General features: G+C 43.5%; 1 protein-coding gene and 1 long non-coding RNA gene across 5 annotated transcripts in view, besides 2 other annotated features; one reads left to right on the top strand and one right to left on the bottom strand.

The window, feature by feature from the left end:
• The window catches only part of LMCD1 (LIM and cysteine rich domains 1), a 72,846-nt gene extending 65,202 nt beyond the window's left edge, over positions 1 to 7,644 (bottom strand). For all 4 annotated transcript variants that reach the window (NM_014583.4, NM_001278234.2, NM_001278233.2 and 1 more), the window contains exon 1: positions 7,487 to 7,644. In NM_014583.4, the coding sequence (NP_055398.1) occupies positions 7,487 to 7,528 (42 nt within the window). In that variant the 5' untranslated portion in view covers positions 7,529 to 7,644. The remainder of the gene's footprint in view (positions 1 to 7,486) is intronic.
• Positions 7,645 to 7,808: 164 nt separating this feature from the next.
• Positions 7,809 to 16,683, top strand: part of LMCD1-AS1 (LMCD1 antisense RNA 1) — a 280,512-nt gene continuing 271,637 nt past the window's right edge. The window contains exons 1-3 of the long non-coding RNA NR_033378.1: positions 7,809 to 7,996; positions 10,618 to 10,917; positions 14,701 to 14,786. This is a non-coding gene — a long non-coding RNA (LMCD1 antisense RNA 1). The remainder of the gene's footprint in view (positions 7,997 to 10,617; positions 10,918 to 14,700; positions 14,787 to 16,683) is intronic.
• Positions 9,123 to 10,056: an enhancer, noted in NCBI's record as "OCT4-NANOG-H3K27ac hESC enhancer chr3:8541097-8542030 (GRCh37/hg19 assembly coordinates)". NCBI's record gives its function as "activates a minimal SCP1, AML or CMV promoter by ChIP-STARR-seq in naive H9 embryonic stem cells {active_cell/tissue: H9 hESC(naive)}" and the evidence as "EXISTENCE:reporter gene assay evidence [ECO:0000049][PMID:30033119]".
• Positions 10,057 to 10,990: an enhancer, noted in NCBI's record as "OCT4-NANOG-H3K27ac hESC enhancer chr3:8540163-8541096 (GRCh37/hg19 assembly coordinates)". NCBI's record gives its function as "activates a minimal SCP1, AML or CMV promoter by ChIP-STARR-seq in naive H9 embryonic stem cells {active_cell/tissue: H9 hESC(naive)}" and the evidence as "EXISTENCE:reporter gene assay evidence [ECO:0000049][PMID:30033119]".

Raw genomic sequence — 16,683 nt, 5'->3', positions numbered from 1 at the left:
TGTTGCCCTATCTTATAAGCAAGACATTGGAGGGAAAGACTGGTAATGGAGCAGGGGAGGGCTGCTATGGAAAGGGTAGCGACCAAACACCCAAGACGAATTGTGGCTATTCTCATGATTTTGCAATGTGATGTGGCCTGAGTATATTTATGGCTAGGTCCAAGTTTAACTACAAAGAGAAGGTCCTGCAGTCTGAGAGCTTAGAAGCCCCATGTGATGTAGGTAAACTGAATTTGGTCTTCCACATCCCAATACTTAATAACCTATGGGATTTTTGCATCATGCTGATGAGAGGGGGTATCCATAACAGCAGGAGGAAATGTTTATCAAGGGTATATTATGTATCCAGGCACTTTATGCACTTTACCTCATTAAACTATCGTTTAAATGTAGAACTACGGTGAGCTATCTTTCTCAAATGAGGAACCAGAGGTCCAGAGAGGATCAGTAACTTGGCGAAGTTTGCAGACCTGGCAAATTGAAGAGCTGCAGGTCACATCTAGATCTTTGTGCTTGCAAATGTTGTGTGTTTAACGGCTCCTCGAAGTGGCTTCTGGACCTTGTGGCCAAAGCTAAGTTCACAGCCAAAATGTCCACCTGAACTTCTGAGTTTCAAGGTATGAGGTTGACACAAAACTGGGATACTCTGGGGGTGGAAGTGACAGAATACAGCAGACACTCTTTTCTCCTTCATTCATAAAAGATGCTGTGAGTCAATGTATCTTGGTTGTGGCACCACTCATGTAAATGTAAGTTTGTAAATTTCAGATATGCCATTTCTTATGTAAAGTTCAGATGTGCCATTTTTTTCTTTGTAAATTTCAGATATGCCATTTCTCCCCCTGTCCCATTTGTGACATGAAGGGGTTGAATGAGCAGATAACAAGATTCTGCTCAGCTCTTTTAGACAATGGCTCATTAGCCTTTGTCTCCAGAGATAAATTTTACAAAGGATTCAATATTTTTTAAACAGGAGGAGGAGACAAAATCTATACACAAAGCATGTGGATTTGAAACAGCCACCTTGAGTTGGACACTGGCACTCCTTTGTCCTTCAATAGAGTTACTTGCCAAATGGAGCCTTTGTTTCTTCTCCCTTAGCAATTATATTTCCTTTTAAAGCATGTCCCGGTGGGGGCCCAGGCCATGTTTGGCTTGGTCATGATTTATATATTATTGGGTAGGCCATGGGTCAGGCTGACTAGACATGTAGAAATGCACATGTCAAGGCCAACCTTATCCCCAGGGCAGAGTTTCCTGAAAGCTCTGGGACAAGGTCTCTAGAATTATTTTTAGAGTATTAGGATAACATGTATTATTCTTTAAAAGGTCTCTCTACTAGTCTTCTGCCGGGAGATGTCCATTAGCCTTCTGGAAAACCAGGAGAAATCAAGAAAGTCTTTATTCTATACCCGAGAAATGGCTCTGATTTGGTGTAGGTGACAGTATACTCCTGGTGGTGACCAAGAGATATCAAAGAGATACAGGTGCCTAGCAACATTTTGCAAATGCTGGGAAGCTTCTGAACCAGACTATCAATGAGTTCAGTGGGCTGGAAGAAATTGATCTGTGTATGAAAGTCACAGTAATAATCATAGTCCCTCCTCACCAGATTTCTGCTTTCTACGAATGCCTTCTGTTTCTTGCAGAGTGAAAAGAACTGAAGTTTTGGAGTCAGAGAGGCCTGAGTTTGAGTTCTTAATCTGTCATTATGTGACCTTAGACAAGTCGTTTCAAACTCTTAGTCTTAACTTACTCATGTGTAAAAAAGGACACCAATATTTTTGCATGGTAGTCCTTGAAGCTAAAGAGCTAACACACAGGAAAATGTCAATCATCTCCGGACCCTTAGAGATGTCTTTCCTTCCTCTCTTTTGCCTAGCCCCAAACTTGCCTGTCCTAACAGAGAACAAGTCTGTTGGGAGGCAAGAATCCAAATAGATAATAAAAGTAAGAACAGACTCCTTTCTCTTTTCTGAGAAAAAAATGTAAAAGGGTTTGCTTCTCATACAGAAGAGCAGATATGAGACAAGGAGTTGATTTGGGAGTTTCACAAAGCACTACAATTGATTTGTCTCTTCTGTTTTTGTGAAAACACAATTTCTGCATCAAATATACAGGATTAGATACTAAATTTGTGTTTCAGCCACTAAAGGAGCCTTGGTGAACACAGGAGACTCAACTTCATATGTAACTCTTTCTATAAAAGTTTTATAGAGAGCATTTTCTAGAGCTTTTGCAGATCTATGCTATTGCTATATGTAAACATCCAACAATGGTTTGGGACACACCAATTGTTCCACGTGGATTTAAGGAAATGTTGTGCTCTTGAAGGAGTCCTGCAAAAGTGGCTGGTGGCCCTGCACCTGGTGAGACAGTAGCAGCTGCTGGCCAAATCCTCTTCCTGTTATCAAATGGTAGGGGATATGAGGATATTTCTAAACGAAGGCTCTTCAAGAGCAACAGCTGTCTCTTCATTTTGGATGTCCTGAAAAGCTGCTCCACAATTCCGCTTTCAGTGGAACGAAGTTTTAAGCCTATTTTGTCATAATCATTTGTTATTTGGGAGATGATCTGGTGTAAAGGAAAAGTCAGTGGGCTGGAGGCAGAAGGAACCCTGGTTCTCATCCAAATTCTGCCACTTCCTAGGAAAGGTGACCTATCCAAAGTCACCCAGTGAGTAAACGCCTGCAGTTATTATAATGACTCACGCCCCTGCCAGAAATCTGTTCTTAAAATAAAGATTTAAATGGTGTTGGATGAATGGTTGGGAGATAAGAGCTCTCAAGGTCTGTTACTTATCAAGGCAAATCTCCACTTTATGAGACACAAACTATTTTGAATGTGCAAGCTAAAAAGAGGACGATTTGCCTTCCTAAAGTCAAATTGAATACTTCTCCTGGAGCCCTGTCAGCTCTAGTGAGTTGCGAGAGGAACTATTCCCTTACTTCTCTACTCTTTACCTTTTCCTCTTGGGAAGTGGCCTGCGTAAGGGCGGAAGGAAAGACACACACAAAAGCCTGTGTGCAGCCCCTCCTTCCTGGTCCCCAGCCTTTGCTGAATTCAGCCTATTCTTTTTTCATCCTTGTCACCTTTGGTCAGTTAGCATGAAGAGAGGATCAAACCAAGCATCCTCAGAGGGGAATGCCAAAGTCATTTTTCCACTTTCCAACTCGTAGGAGTGTTGGTAAGCTCTGAGCAAATTCCTAGCCTTGGAGCTGAGATGCTTAGATTAAAGCCTGAAGATAATCTGATGAAGCTCTTTCCTGCCTCCCACTACCACAGTGGCAGATACATTGGTGAAAGTCAACTGTCAGCCCCCAACTCCGCATAGTCAGACACACCTGCAGCTTAGGACAAAAATCTGCAATTCACAAAGTAATGGTTTCAGCATCTGTTTTTAGAAAGCATGTAAAAGGGACTTGGATAATTTCTGTTTTTAAAAAACAAGGCTCTATTATGGCAAAAAAGTTGCTTATACACCTATGGGCATGTCTCCAATGTCTTGGCTATTAAGGTCTTTAAGTGACAGTTTAATATGTTTTTAAGATTGAGAGAGCCAACGACAATTCACGAGGAGCTGTGTTTACATTGGATCAGCTCACCCGGGTGATGTGCCAGTAGTTTGGCACACTGCAGGAAGTGGAGGTGAAAGCAGGAAGGGCTGAGTACAGAGGGAAGGCCTAGCCTGAAGGACAGGAAAGCCAAGAGGGATGTGATGTAGAGAAGCATGGAGAGAGACATCCAGGTGGACCTGGCAATGGACTTAGAAGTACCATCATTTAATGCCCCTTGGGCATTGTGTTGAGGGGTGAGAATTTCTAATTGGATCCCTCTGGAGCCAGCCCACTGGTGACTGCACAGTCAACTATGAACAGGTTCCTAGCTCTCTTTCTTCTAATCCCTTCTAAATTCCTACAGATGGTTCCTTGACAGTCAAGGGGTCTGTATTCTTGCAGAGCCTAATAGGCTTCAGTACATTTTCTCTGCAACTTCTGATAAGGAGCTTGATCCCTCTGGGCCTCAGTTTCCTTATCTAAAAAGTAAGGCACTCCAAGTCCCCTTCGAGGCCTAACATTATATAACTCCAAAGTGAAATGCTCAATAACTGGCAATCCATGTTCAGAAGGAAAGACTGTTCCATGTAAGCAGATTTTGCACCCGTTGGGTGAGAATGAAGGCAACAGCATTTGGTCATTGTCTTAGCTTGTCAAAGCTGAGCAATGGCTTAGGTTCAGCTGAATGAAAGTTAGGTGCTCTTCAGATGGGGCAGTTATAAATAAAAGTGTCCTCATTCACCAGAAAATTCCTTTCCGCATCCATGCACCCACTGAAATGTACCGCCACCACCAAGGACTGCCATGGCTAACTCTGAGTGCCCATATGCTGAGCCTTTTATGTACATCATCTCACTTAATTATCACAGCCATCTTGGGAGGTAGATGCTGTTACTGTTTCTTCAACTTTCAAATGAGGTGAGGATACTGACTCAAAGTTAATTAGCTTGCCCAAGAGCACACAGCTAGTAAGTGGGGGAGCTGGGACTTAAACCAGATCTGAAGCCAAAGCCTGCACTAATAACTTGCATCCTTAATAAACAAGAACAAATCCATAGTCGAGATTGGTTTCACCCAGAAAAATGGCATTTGGCCTTCAAGGCCCTTTGTTACCAAGAAATGTTGGCGATTTCACCATTCTCAGGGAACTGTCTGTGCTAGGAAACCTTCTCTTTCCTAATAGAAAAAAAAAGATGGTTCAAGAGCAGCCGGTGGAAGCATTTTACTTAGAAAGAAAGAGAGAAGTTAGGGAACTTGTAAGCTCTGCCACGATGTATGTATGTGGCCCCCAGTGAGTCTCTTTCCCCAGCCTGTCTGGGGTTGGTTAGATGACCTTTAAGTCTACTCCAGTTTTTAGATTTTATGTTCTTTGCTGAAGATCTTTTTATGACTTTCCAGTTGGTGGGGATTCCCGCCCCAGCCCCCTCGGGGGTAGGGAAGCGGAAACAGCCTGTATGCCATTTTAAACCATTTCTCATTTTGTAAATAGGCCCCTTGTAGCTCTAAGAGTCTATGAAATTGTTTCAAAATGTCTAAGTGCGATTATGCATCCTGAAGCCAAATGTTATAAACCTCCCCCACATACTGTTGCAGATTTAAAAAATAAATATGCAGTAAAAGCTTTTCAGCGTGTTGCTGATATCACGTAGTACTTAATCACTTCTGTGACATTCAGTTCAGCAAGGGGAGCTTCTCGGCTCTCCTCCCTCCCCTCCACATTTTGAGTTGAAGGCATTGGTTAACCTACAAAATGGTGATCTTCCTCCTGATTGTCGCAGTCCCAAGAGATAAAAAAAATCTGCCCTTTCATCTCTACCCACCACATTCTTTCTCTAAGCCTGTAATTGGATCTAAATGGAAAACAAACCCTTTGCAGGCCAAGGAAGTTGGCACTAGGGGGTGACAAGAAGGAGAACATGTTCCACCTCTAATCAGGATAATCACACTCCCCTATGCAAAGGAAAATAAAAACAAGGCTTCCTCCAAGTGGCAACACAGGACTGTGGTGAGGAGGAGGAGTCTCCATATACCTCATCTCACCTCATACAGTAACTATCAACCAGCTTATATTAAAAATACTCAGAATCATTTCACTTTCCAGAGGACAATGGAACTCTGCCACCTTTAGCCGTGAACTATTCTGTGTCTGAACTTGGGGAGGCAGTTCAGACACACAAATATCAATGCTACAAGTTAAAAAATAATGCATAAAATGAAGCCTATGCAAACAGTGTGGTCTTAGCTGGACAGATATTCTCATGAGTCACCCACAGGTTTTTGAGTCCTGCTGTGTGGCATGGTGTGCTATGTTCAAACAGGGATGAACAAGACAGGTTTGCCCTCAAGGAGTCCAGAAAAATGTATAGAGAAATAAGAGCATTGCATGCATAACTCACTACTAGGTAGCAATTAATAGGTATCTTCTAAGAGTCTAAAATGTTATGGTAATTTCTGTAGGAGGGGAAATGACTTGATTCTGCAAATAGCTTGGCAAATGCAGTGAGGCATGATACATTCCAGACAAATGCCCAGATTCAATGTGACTTGGTACCCACATTTAGAAGGATCCACTGGACTCTGTGACAGGGTCTGGGCAGGTGGTCTACAGAAGAGCACAGCTACAAATTAGACAGTGCATGCTGTGCCTCTGAGTGGCTGTTTGTGTCTTTAGTTTGATTCTCACGTCTTTTGTTTTTCCCCCTCTCATTCTACCCTGCAGGTTAATGGCAGATATTTAAGGAAGACTTTGCCCTTCAAGACTAAACCCTGTGAAATCAGAGTTTAACAATGACTGCTTTGGGAAATTAACTCACAGTGTCAGTATCCCTGCTACCACTGCCATGAGGGAGGTTAGGCCTATCCTCCCCACATCAGAGACAAGGAAACTGAGGCTCAGAAAAGTGACCTGGTGAATCATGTGCAGTTAAAAAGTGGCAGGGACTGAGTCTGGATGCCTAGGGCTTGCCTTACAGTCAGCTGCCTGTTAGAACCAACTCTCTGTGACCCCGGGCCTCAGTTTCCCGATCTGTAAAGCCTAGGTTGTCTCTCTGTTCCCTTCCCGTTCACATGTTCTCTAAGTCTCCAGCCTGTGCCTTCTCCCAGCTGCATTCAGGTAGGCAACAAGTGGTATTGGAGCTATAGGCACAGCCGCAGGCTCCTGTGCAGGAGTTTACCCATGACCTTCTGGGCTCCGGGCCAGCCCTTCTTGTAAGGGAAACGTGCAGACCCTGGGGACAGAAATCAGTTCCCTTATGCTGGAACTGCTGCCACTGCCAACATCACCAACTAAAGAAACTGCGTGCGTGTGTGTGTGTGTGTGTGTGTGTGTGTGTGTGTGTGTATTGGGGGAAACACACAAAACACTGGGATAATAGCAAAAGGGAGACTGTGAGTAAATATTACATGCTCTCAACCCTTACTTCAGCCACCTGAGGACAGGGAGTGAGGAAGCTAGGGGTTTTTCCTTTACAGACCATAAGATTTCATATATATATATTATATATTATATATATTTTATATATAATATATATTATATATATTTTATATAATATATATTATATATTTTATATATAATATATATTATATATAATATATATTTTATATATTATATATAATATATATTATATATATTTTATATATATATTTTATATACATTTTATATATATTGTATATATATGTAAAACCTTAATTAAACTTTAACTAGCATCACCAAAGACATAAGACCCTTTGCAAATATTTTACACAACATTGGGTTTGGGGTGTGTGTGCCTGTTAGCTCAAACATGTATTCCCAACTATTTGTTTTCCATGCAGTTTTGGAATTTAAAGAGTTCCCTTCTCATTACCTTTTGGGAAGTTTCCGCGAACAGATGGGAAGGGGAACAAGAAAAAGTAAGAATCTGGGTAAATACAAACAGCTTTCCACTCACCTTTTTAACTCCTGGGTTGAGGTCCTTAGCCACCTTTGCCATCCTCTTCTGGGGTGGGGGAACAGCGCCTGGCTTCTCAGGCAGAGGCGCGAGGGCGCGCAGCGGGGACAGCGGCGGCTGAATGGCCAAGTTCGCGGGCCTGGGAGGGAGCTCTGTGCGCAGCCAGGCGCAGCTGGGCCGCTTTAATTGGAGAGCGGGACTCCCTCTAAAACCTCGCCAGCCACTCCGCGCCGGCGCTCGCGCGAGGCCAGCCAATCCCAGCGCGAGGCTGTCCCCCTCCCTCAGGGAGGTCTCTGCACTGTGGCAGCGAGCGGAGCTGAGCGCCGGCTGCCCTGACGTCAGCATGGCCGCGGCCCCTGACTACCCAGCTCCCTTCTATCCCTCGAGCGGCAGGAATCCGTCCCCACGCCCTTTTCCTTTAAAGGGCAACGGGCCGAAGGTGGGGCGGGCGGCGCGGCTCCCGCGATCCATTCAGGTCAAAAGGGAGAGTGATCAAACAGGAGAGCCGAGGTATTTTTAGTGAGCTGGATCCAGAAATAAATGCTGAGCTGTGCTCCCCTTCCCACCCTTTCTGCCTGGTCGTAGGGGGCGCGGGGAGGGCTGAGGGAGGAGGTGTTTTGCAGGAGCTGGCTAACGTTTCCCAAACCTGGGCGAGTTCTCCAATATCCAGAGAGGAGAAAAGATTCCAGCGAGTTATGATTTTTTTAAACTTAACGTTCGTAAAGTATTAAACTGCTTTCTTATAACTTGCTTTAACATAAATCCTTCTTATTCCATGAGCAAGAAATCACTGTCCTGATCTTAGAGATGCTCCTGTGGACATACTGTCTTGTTGTATGCTCATATTATCTCAGATATTATTATTATTATGACTGTAAGACGATAGATGAGGAAATAATCAGAATAACTGGTCCACAGCTGAATTACTGAGCAAGGCTTTAACCTGAGAGACTGAGAGTAATAGAGAGAAAGCTCATGGGGGCGTGGCGGGGGGGGGGAGGGAGGCGGCGGGCACAGGATTGTAAACTATAAACTAGGAAGTTAGTAATTTTTAGATAAATGGGGTCATGCAGGCCTGGACAAACAAGATTCCATCTGAGTTCACAAATCCATGGAATGTGGAGTCCTTGCAACGCATAACATAACTACTCTTATAAGACAGAATTGGCCAGGTTCCTCTCTCTATGCCACGTTGTTTGCCTATAAAGCCACATCTCTCTGCTGAGCCGGTTCCACAGACTTGGATTCCAGAGGCATTTCCCCCCTGCCCTGACAGAGGATTAAACACAAGCCCTTTTTATCCTAGAGAGAATACTGCTGTCTCTGTTGTGAGGTGTTCGGCCTGTAACCCGTCTTTGCAGTGCCCCCTGCCAGAAAAACCAGGGTCCCGTGGGCTAAAATAAAACTCGGTTGCACAGAGACTGAAGAGTGGTCCCGAAGTACACCATTCGGGAGGGATTTGGTGAGAAGGGGAGGCTGCAGTTCCCACTGTGGGGCTGTCTCTTGCTGGAGGCTTTTTCCTCTTGAAAGCCTCCTCCAATTTAGTTCTTATCATCATCTCCAGTCATCCCAAATCTCAGCCAGGGATCCTGAATTGTGACTTTTTATTACATATTCCTGGAAAGGGCTTTTTGTGGCTTATCTTTTCCAAGATGAGGGATGACCTATTTCTTTTTTCACAGATTTCTGCTATAATTGATTTTTGCCTTGTTTGCTCCCAGCTATGTCCTCAAACACCTAGCATGTGGTATAGGCACAGTACACATTTGGCAAATGAATAGAGGTTGGGTTCTGGCTTTTATTTTTTTTATTGATACATCATGATTGTACATGTGGTATTTTGATATATGCTTACAATGTGTAATGATCAAATCAGGGTGTTTAGGATTTCCATCACCTTGAACATTTATAATTTCTTTGTACTGGGAACATGTCAAATCACTTTTAGCTTTTCTTTTTTTTTTTTTTTTTTTTTTGAGACAGAGTCTCGCGCTGTTGCCCAGGCTGGAATGCAGTGGCGCGATCTCGGCTCACTGTGACCTCTGCCTCCCAGGTTCAAGTGAGTCTCCCACCTCGGCTTCCCAAGAAGCTGGGACTACAGGCATGAGCCACCATACCTGGCTCATTTTTGTATTTTTAGTAGAGACAGAGTTTCACCATATTGGCCAGGCTGGTCTTGAACTCCTGACCTCAAGTGATCCTCCTACCTTGGCATCCCAAAGTGCTGGAATTACAGGAGTGAGCCACCGCACCTAGCCTCTTTTAGCTATTTTGAAGTATACAATTCACTGTTGTTGACTATAGTCACCCTACTGTGCTGTTGAATGCTAGACTTTTTCTTGCTATCAGACAGTGTTTGTTCGCATTAACCAACCTCTGTTCATCCCCTCACACCCCAGCCCACCATTTCCCAACCTCTGGTAACCTTCTTCTACTCTCTACCTCCATGCAGTAAGCAGGCAAAGTAAGAATAGGGAGAGATGGTGCAATGGCACACCTGGCCTGGTTTGTCCAAACTTCCAAGGTAGGCTGCATGTTAAACCAGTATGTAAATAAACAGTGGCCAACAGAAGCCTGGCCTGGGAGAGGAGGTTTCCACATGAATAGTCCTTTCAGTAGCAAATCCTAGGAACAATAGTGCTAAATCAGGATGTCATGCCAGAAGCCTTTATATTTTAGAGCTGTGGGAACAGAAGCCAGGAATATAACAAAGGCAAGCTTTATCCCTTTCAAACGAGGCAAAAGCCTGCCCAGTGAAGTCATTTCCCACTCCCTTCCCAGCCACCCTCCTTGCCCCATCTTGAAAAATCATTGTTCCATGAAATAATACTAATTTTATTAAGTTAACACTATTTATTAATAGCTCCAACCACAAGAGTCTCTCCCCCTCCTTATTTTTACCCTTGGCTCCAGGTACAATTAAGGAGGCAGATATTGCAGCTGTTTCTCAGAATTTCTCAGAACACGAGTGTCAGGAGCTGTTGCTTGGGGTGGCTCATTCCCTTCTTTCTGGAAAAAGACCTGCTGTAGGCAGAGAGGGGATCCCTGCTATCTGCTAGAAGTTGCTGTCTCCTCAGCTGAGGATTCTGACTTTGACACTTTAAACCTTACACTTGACCCTCTTGTTCCAGGGGACCTATATTCAGAGACTTAACCGGACACCTGGACAGACCATTACAACTTGGGACTTTTCAGGAGAATGAGGGAAATGTAGTTATTGCACCTGAGCCTCACTCCAGCTCTGAGGTCCTCTTCACTTCTCTTTGGAAGAAAATTGGATATCTTTTCCTAGTTGAAAGAGTAGAGATCTGATTTCTCCAAGGATCATCGCTTTTTGACACGGGATTATTAGAAGCATTCATTCATCTATCAAGGAGTTTTGGGATACTTGCCATAAGCCAAGCCCTCTGATAGGTGCTGGAAACATCAAGGTAAATAAAAGAGTTCTTCTCCTTGGAGAACATATTGGTCTAATAACTACTTCTGGGGCTCCCTGGTTGACAGAGCCCTAATCTTACTTGAACTCCAAGACAACTAGTCTCAGAGAAAACAGAAATCCCAAACAGTCCCAGGGCTGTATCAAAGGTCATACAGCTGGCAAGTGGCAGAGCTGAAATTTAAATTCAGAGTTTTTAACTTCAGATTGCACCCTTTCACCTATACTGCACTGCTTCCATAATGATTGCAGATGGTTGATTATAAGCAAAACAGGAAGCACTTGGATTAAGATGCTGCTGTTGTTGTCATCATTATCACTGGGCTTGTCCTAACTGGGATTTTTGACTCTGAGTCTCGTATTCTTTTTACCATTCATGAACAAATTAATTAAAGAAACAAATATTGAATTGGGAAATACTATGGATTAGGCCCTGAGCTGAGGATGCAACAGTGAATAAGACAGGAAATGTCCCTCCCCTCATATAGCTTCTATTCTAATGTGTGTAGGGGAGACAGGCATTAAACAAGTGGATAGATATTTAGATAAGGTAATTAAGGATGGCAGTGAGTGCCTAGGAGGAAATAAATGGAGAAATTCATTGGACACAGTCATTTTAGATTAGGGGGTCCAGGAAGGTCTGGCTGAGCAGGTGGTGTGTGAACTAAGCCCCAGTGAAGGAGAATGAGTCAGCTGTGAGTACAGTCCCCATGGAGAGAACATTCCAGGAGGATGGGGTCATGAGAGCAGAGACCCTGAGATGAGTGCGAGTGTGGCATGTCTGAGGGATCATGAGGTCAGTGTAGTGGGTCAGGGAGAATGGTATGAGGAGCCTCAGGTGAGGCATGCAGGAGCTGGCTCATGTGGGCCCCATAAACCATGCTAAGGAGTTTATGTTCTCTCCTGGAAATGGCAGGAGGTTAGACATCAGTGCTTTCCCACTGGAACACAATGCAGGCCATGTATGTAATTTAACAATTTCTAATAGTCATATTTAAAAAAAATCAAAAAGAAAAAGGTGAAATAGCTATTATATATTTTATTAAACTCAATATAACTAAAATGTCATTCCCACCTGTGATTAATATAAAAATTATTGCGATGGTTTACACTCTTTTTTATGTGTGTGCTTCATTTTGAAATCTGGTGTGTGTTTTACCCTTACAGCACATCTCTCTTCAGATTAGCCATGTCACAAATACTCAATAAGCACATCTGGCTGGTGGCTACCATCTAGCTACCATCAACCACATCTGGCTGGTGGCTACCATATTGAGCAGAGCAGTTATAGAGAGTCTTAAGCAGGGGAATGACAATGTCTGATTTACTGTGTTACTCACAGCAAGGACACCAAAAGTACTAATGGAAAGCTATCAGTAACTCGCAACGTCTCACTCTCAGGTGGAGAAGCTGAGCAATTAGAAGCTGGTAATTGATTGGTGCAGTGTGGTCTACTATGTGTTCTAAATACTGCATTGGGAGGCACAAGTGATTTTCTCAGAGTCACAAAGCTAGAAAGGGGCAGAACTAGAAAGACCTTGAACCCAGTTCTTTTGGTTTCATGCCAACACCTTCATAAATCCCCAATAATCATGGCTCACAATGATGTTTTCACTGTTACAATGTAGCAAGCAGGGCCCAAGTTATTTCAATGTGAAAACATGAATAATATGTTGTTTGTATCATTAAATAGTACACTAGTTAAATTAAATTATAACCAAATCCTATTTGGTTATTATTATTTTTTTACATATTGTATTCATTAAAAACAACTAACACTTAAGCATCGGTAGACAGAAATGGTCCATGGAACACAGTATATCTGAATTAACAATATAAATATACATGAACCTTCTACCTTAATTTGTATCAACTTGGACCAACAGTTGTACCATATATATGTGAATTACTCACAACTTAAGTTTTTTGGTTTCTTTCCTGTCATTTTCATGGTAACCTTCACTTTAAAATAACTATCTAATTTTTTCCAGGTTTTTGGATGACCTCTTAGAACCAGGAAGGTTTTTGCCTATAAGGCTAAAACATCTGGATCAAAACAGAACATGACTGTTTGACCCAAGCAGTGTCTTGCCATGCAGTCTTTGACAAGGGCAGTGGAAAACACAAGGAAAATGTGTTTCTATGTTACAAAATAACAATAGATCAGGACTCTGGAGCCCTGCATTTTGATCCTGGTTCTGCTAAAAATGTGGCTGACCATCATCTTGCAATTCAAATTTGTCATGATTTACTGGGGGTGAGTGATAAACTTGCCCTGCATATCAGTCACACATCCCACCTGATGGTGCAATGGGGCCGTTCCCTTCTTTGACAGATTAATAAGGGAGTGGAAGGCACACATGCCTTAGTCCTAGAAAATCTGCATGTTTAGCTCCATCGCAGGGGCAAGCTGGGTGATTTGAACAAGATACTTTGGAGTCTCTGGGAGATGGGGATAATGATCTTAATTTCCCCTGTCTTACACAGTGTATCCACTTGTTTGTCTCTGTCTGTAATAGGCAGAATTCTAAGATGACCTCTAAAGATCTGGGCCCTTGTATTATTCCCTCTCCATTAGTATGGGTGGTACCTTTAACTTGTTCTGAACCAATACAATACAGCCAAGGTGTTGGAATATCACTCCCAGAATACTGTTGTGTCTTATGCCAAAGGTGAAAGGATTTTTCAGATGTGATTAAGATCCCCAATAAGGTAATCAAAAGGGACCTTTTCCCAAGGGAGCCTGACCTAGATGGGTGAGCCCTCTAAAAGACAGTATAGAAGTGAGAGACAGGAGTCATATTTCCTTCTGTCCTGCTGACCTTGAAGAAGTAGCCACCATGAGTTCTACATCTGCAAGGAAATGAATCTGCCAACAACCACGTGAGCTTGGAAGAGGACCTGAGGCTCAGAGGAGACCTCATACCCAGCTGACACCTGGCTCAGACCCTATGAGCCCCTGAGCAGAGGACCTAGCTAAGCCAGGTCTGAACTCCCAACCCATGGAAACCATGAGAGAGGAAGAGTATTGTTTTAAGCTGTGAAATTAGTGGTATTGTTACACAGTATAGAAAACCAATGCACTATCTTCCCCATCACTCCTGGTTCTGTTTTAAAGATTTAATTCTCTTGGGGTAAAAAAGCTCGGTACCTATTTTTAAAAAGTGAAAGACTTCATTTAATTGATTCTTGAATCTTATACTTTCCTGGGGCACTAAGTACCATAAACTGAGTATCTCCTTTTTAAAGCAGCATTTTCTGTTATTCTAGCATCTAGGAGATGACTCTAGCTATGGTCCTGGAGGATTTAACCATATTATACATTTAATTTAACTAGTGTACTATTTAATGACACATTCAGCCTATCCATCTTCTCAGGGTGTGTGTGCATGTGGTCAAGCCTCTATCATTTTTGTTTCGGGCAGCAGAATTGGAGAAGCCCCCGTTCTGGGTAGCTGGAAGGAAGCGAACACATGCCTTTTATTTCCAATGTGCCATTAGTGCTTTATAAGTTTAATCCTTAAAACAACCCCAGGGGCAAGTGTGTTATTCCTACTTGCAGATGAGAAACTGAAGCTCCGCTAGGTTAAGTAAGCTGTTCCAGGCCTCATTGCTAGTTGGGATCCAAACTCACACTGGGATTGCTCAGAAGACCCCTGGTTTCAGGGTGAGGACATAGCCTGGACAAGGATGGAGAGACTGGACTCCCAGCCTTTGGGAACTATTCTGGATGTTTTCCATGTGCCCCTCAGATTCACTCTCTTCCCTCCTCCTCCAGCTCTGTGCCCAGGAAGTTCATCCTTGGACTGCACGCATGAACGAGTTTGCTGTCTTCCCATTGGATTCAGCCAGTCCGCGGTCCTGGTAGGAAATCAGGGGTGGGTGTATTTATTCTCCCACTGCCTCCCTGTTGGGCTGGGCAGGGTTTTGGAGGGGGTGGCATCCCCCCTACCTAAAGCCACAGCTCCCATTGGTCTGGTGACTGCTCTCTCCCTTGGCCTCTTCCAGCCTAGGGGTGGTCCCTGCTTTCCGCTATTGTGGGAACCAGTGGGGAGTCCTTGAATCATGCTTTCTCCCTTACAAATAAACCCTTCAGCTACCCCTTTGAGTATTTGCAGCCAGAACACTAACCCACGCTGACACAACCGTGAGTTTGAGAGATGATCCTAGGGCAGCCTTAGCCGGCTTGCTCAGATATAGACTGCCCGGTATGTTTCTTTTATATTATCTTTGTCTATTAGTATGTGGATTAATTAAAAGAATTGGAGGCTTGGAAATGAATTAGAATAGGAAGGCCAATTAGAGGTGTTGGGAGGACAAGATAAAAATTTAGCAGCCTTCTAGACTGGTCTGTTGGCTGCTCTTGAGTCATGAGGAGACTGACTGCTGAGTTCTTCCTCAGCCACTGACAGTGACTTTAGGCACTGAGTCCCTTGTGCCAGGGTCTCCTCATCTTTAAAAATGCGGGCTCTTCAAGTATGGGAACTGCCTTATTAAAGAAATACAAAGAACACAAGCGATGCCAACAGTCACCACCATCAGTATTTTCATGGGGTCATGGAAAATAGCACCAGGGCCTATCACTGGGCCACGAGGCAACAGGTGGGCAAACACTTCTCGTGAGTGGTTTCCTTCACTTTCTGTTTTGTACTTTTCCCTCAGCTAATCTAATCCTGGGCCATCAGACTTCTTATGCTCAGGAATGCCTATACATAAAAATGACTTGTAAGTTGGAGATGCAAGAAAAATATTGTCATTAAAATAATTATCAATAAAAATTGCCCCTAAAAAATAGGGCTTGCTGTGAGGAGCGGATCTGGGGCTGCCTGCAAAAGTATGGTTTGAGCCCTGATGGCCCTTCCATGGGGAAAGGGTTCCTGGACCAGGGGTACCAGTTGCATTAATCTCCTCTTGATTCTTTGGGGATTCGTTGTAAGTGGCGATAGTAGGGAACCTAGAGCAATTTGCTGAGCGGGACCCTCTTACTGAGCCGAATCTCTGTAATTTGCTGACTTTCGTAGAGTTTGCAGCAGGATATAGCAAAGTCCTTGTCATTATCTACGTGTCCCTCAGGGAATGAGGTGTCACTATGACTCACTGAGAAAGTGTGTTGAACAGGATTAAGGAGCAATACTGCAGTTCCAAGTTCTTAGTCTAAGAATCACTTTGATTCTTGGGGGAAAGGGAGAGTAGTGGCAGGGGTGAAGTAGCTTGGAGGGGGCTGGCTTGTGGATTTACATTGGCCTGTCAAAGAGGGAACTGTCAGCTTCAAGGGACACGCTCAGGATAATTGGTACCAGGTGCTATTTCTGAGCTACCACCAACATGATGTTGCCAGGCTCTATCCACACAAAATTTCACTGAATCCTCCTGACACTCTCCTGAGTCAGGCGATCTTATCTCCATTTTACAGAAGAGCAAACTGAGCCCTGGGGAAGTTAAGTAGTTTTTGCAAGGTCACATAGCTGGTTGCAGAGCCCGAAATTGAACTCACATGGGTCAGACTTCAAAGTTAACACTGAGAAAAAGTAAAAACCATAGCTAAAATACCAGCGACCACTTCTTGGGTGTCTACCGTGTGCCAAGCTGTGCTATGCTACAGGATCTGTGATAGAGATAAAAACCACTTCCTCTCCTCCCTACCCATCACTTAACACCTGTGGGCTAATTGTAGGTGACCCTCAATAACCTAATTATGTAGCCTATTTAGAATAACATTCCATTTTAGAATAACCTTGTACCCACCAGTAAATAGGGAAAA

The sequence above is a fragment of the Homo sapiens genome, chromosome 3 (genome assembly GCF_000001405.40).
Source record: "Homo sapiens chromosome 3, GRCh38.p14 Primary Assembly".
NCBI lineage: Eukaryota > Metazoa > Chordata > Mammalia > Primates > Hominidae > Homo > Homo sapiens.
The sequence above is the reverse complement of the archived record's forward strand: the minus strand, read 5'-3'. Positions and strand labels throughout refer to the sequence as shown.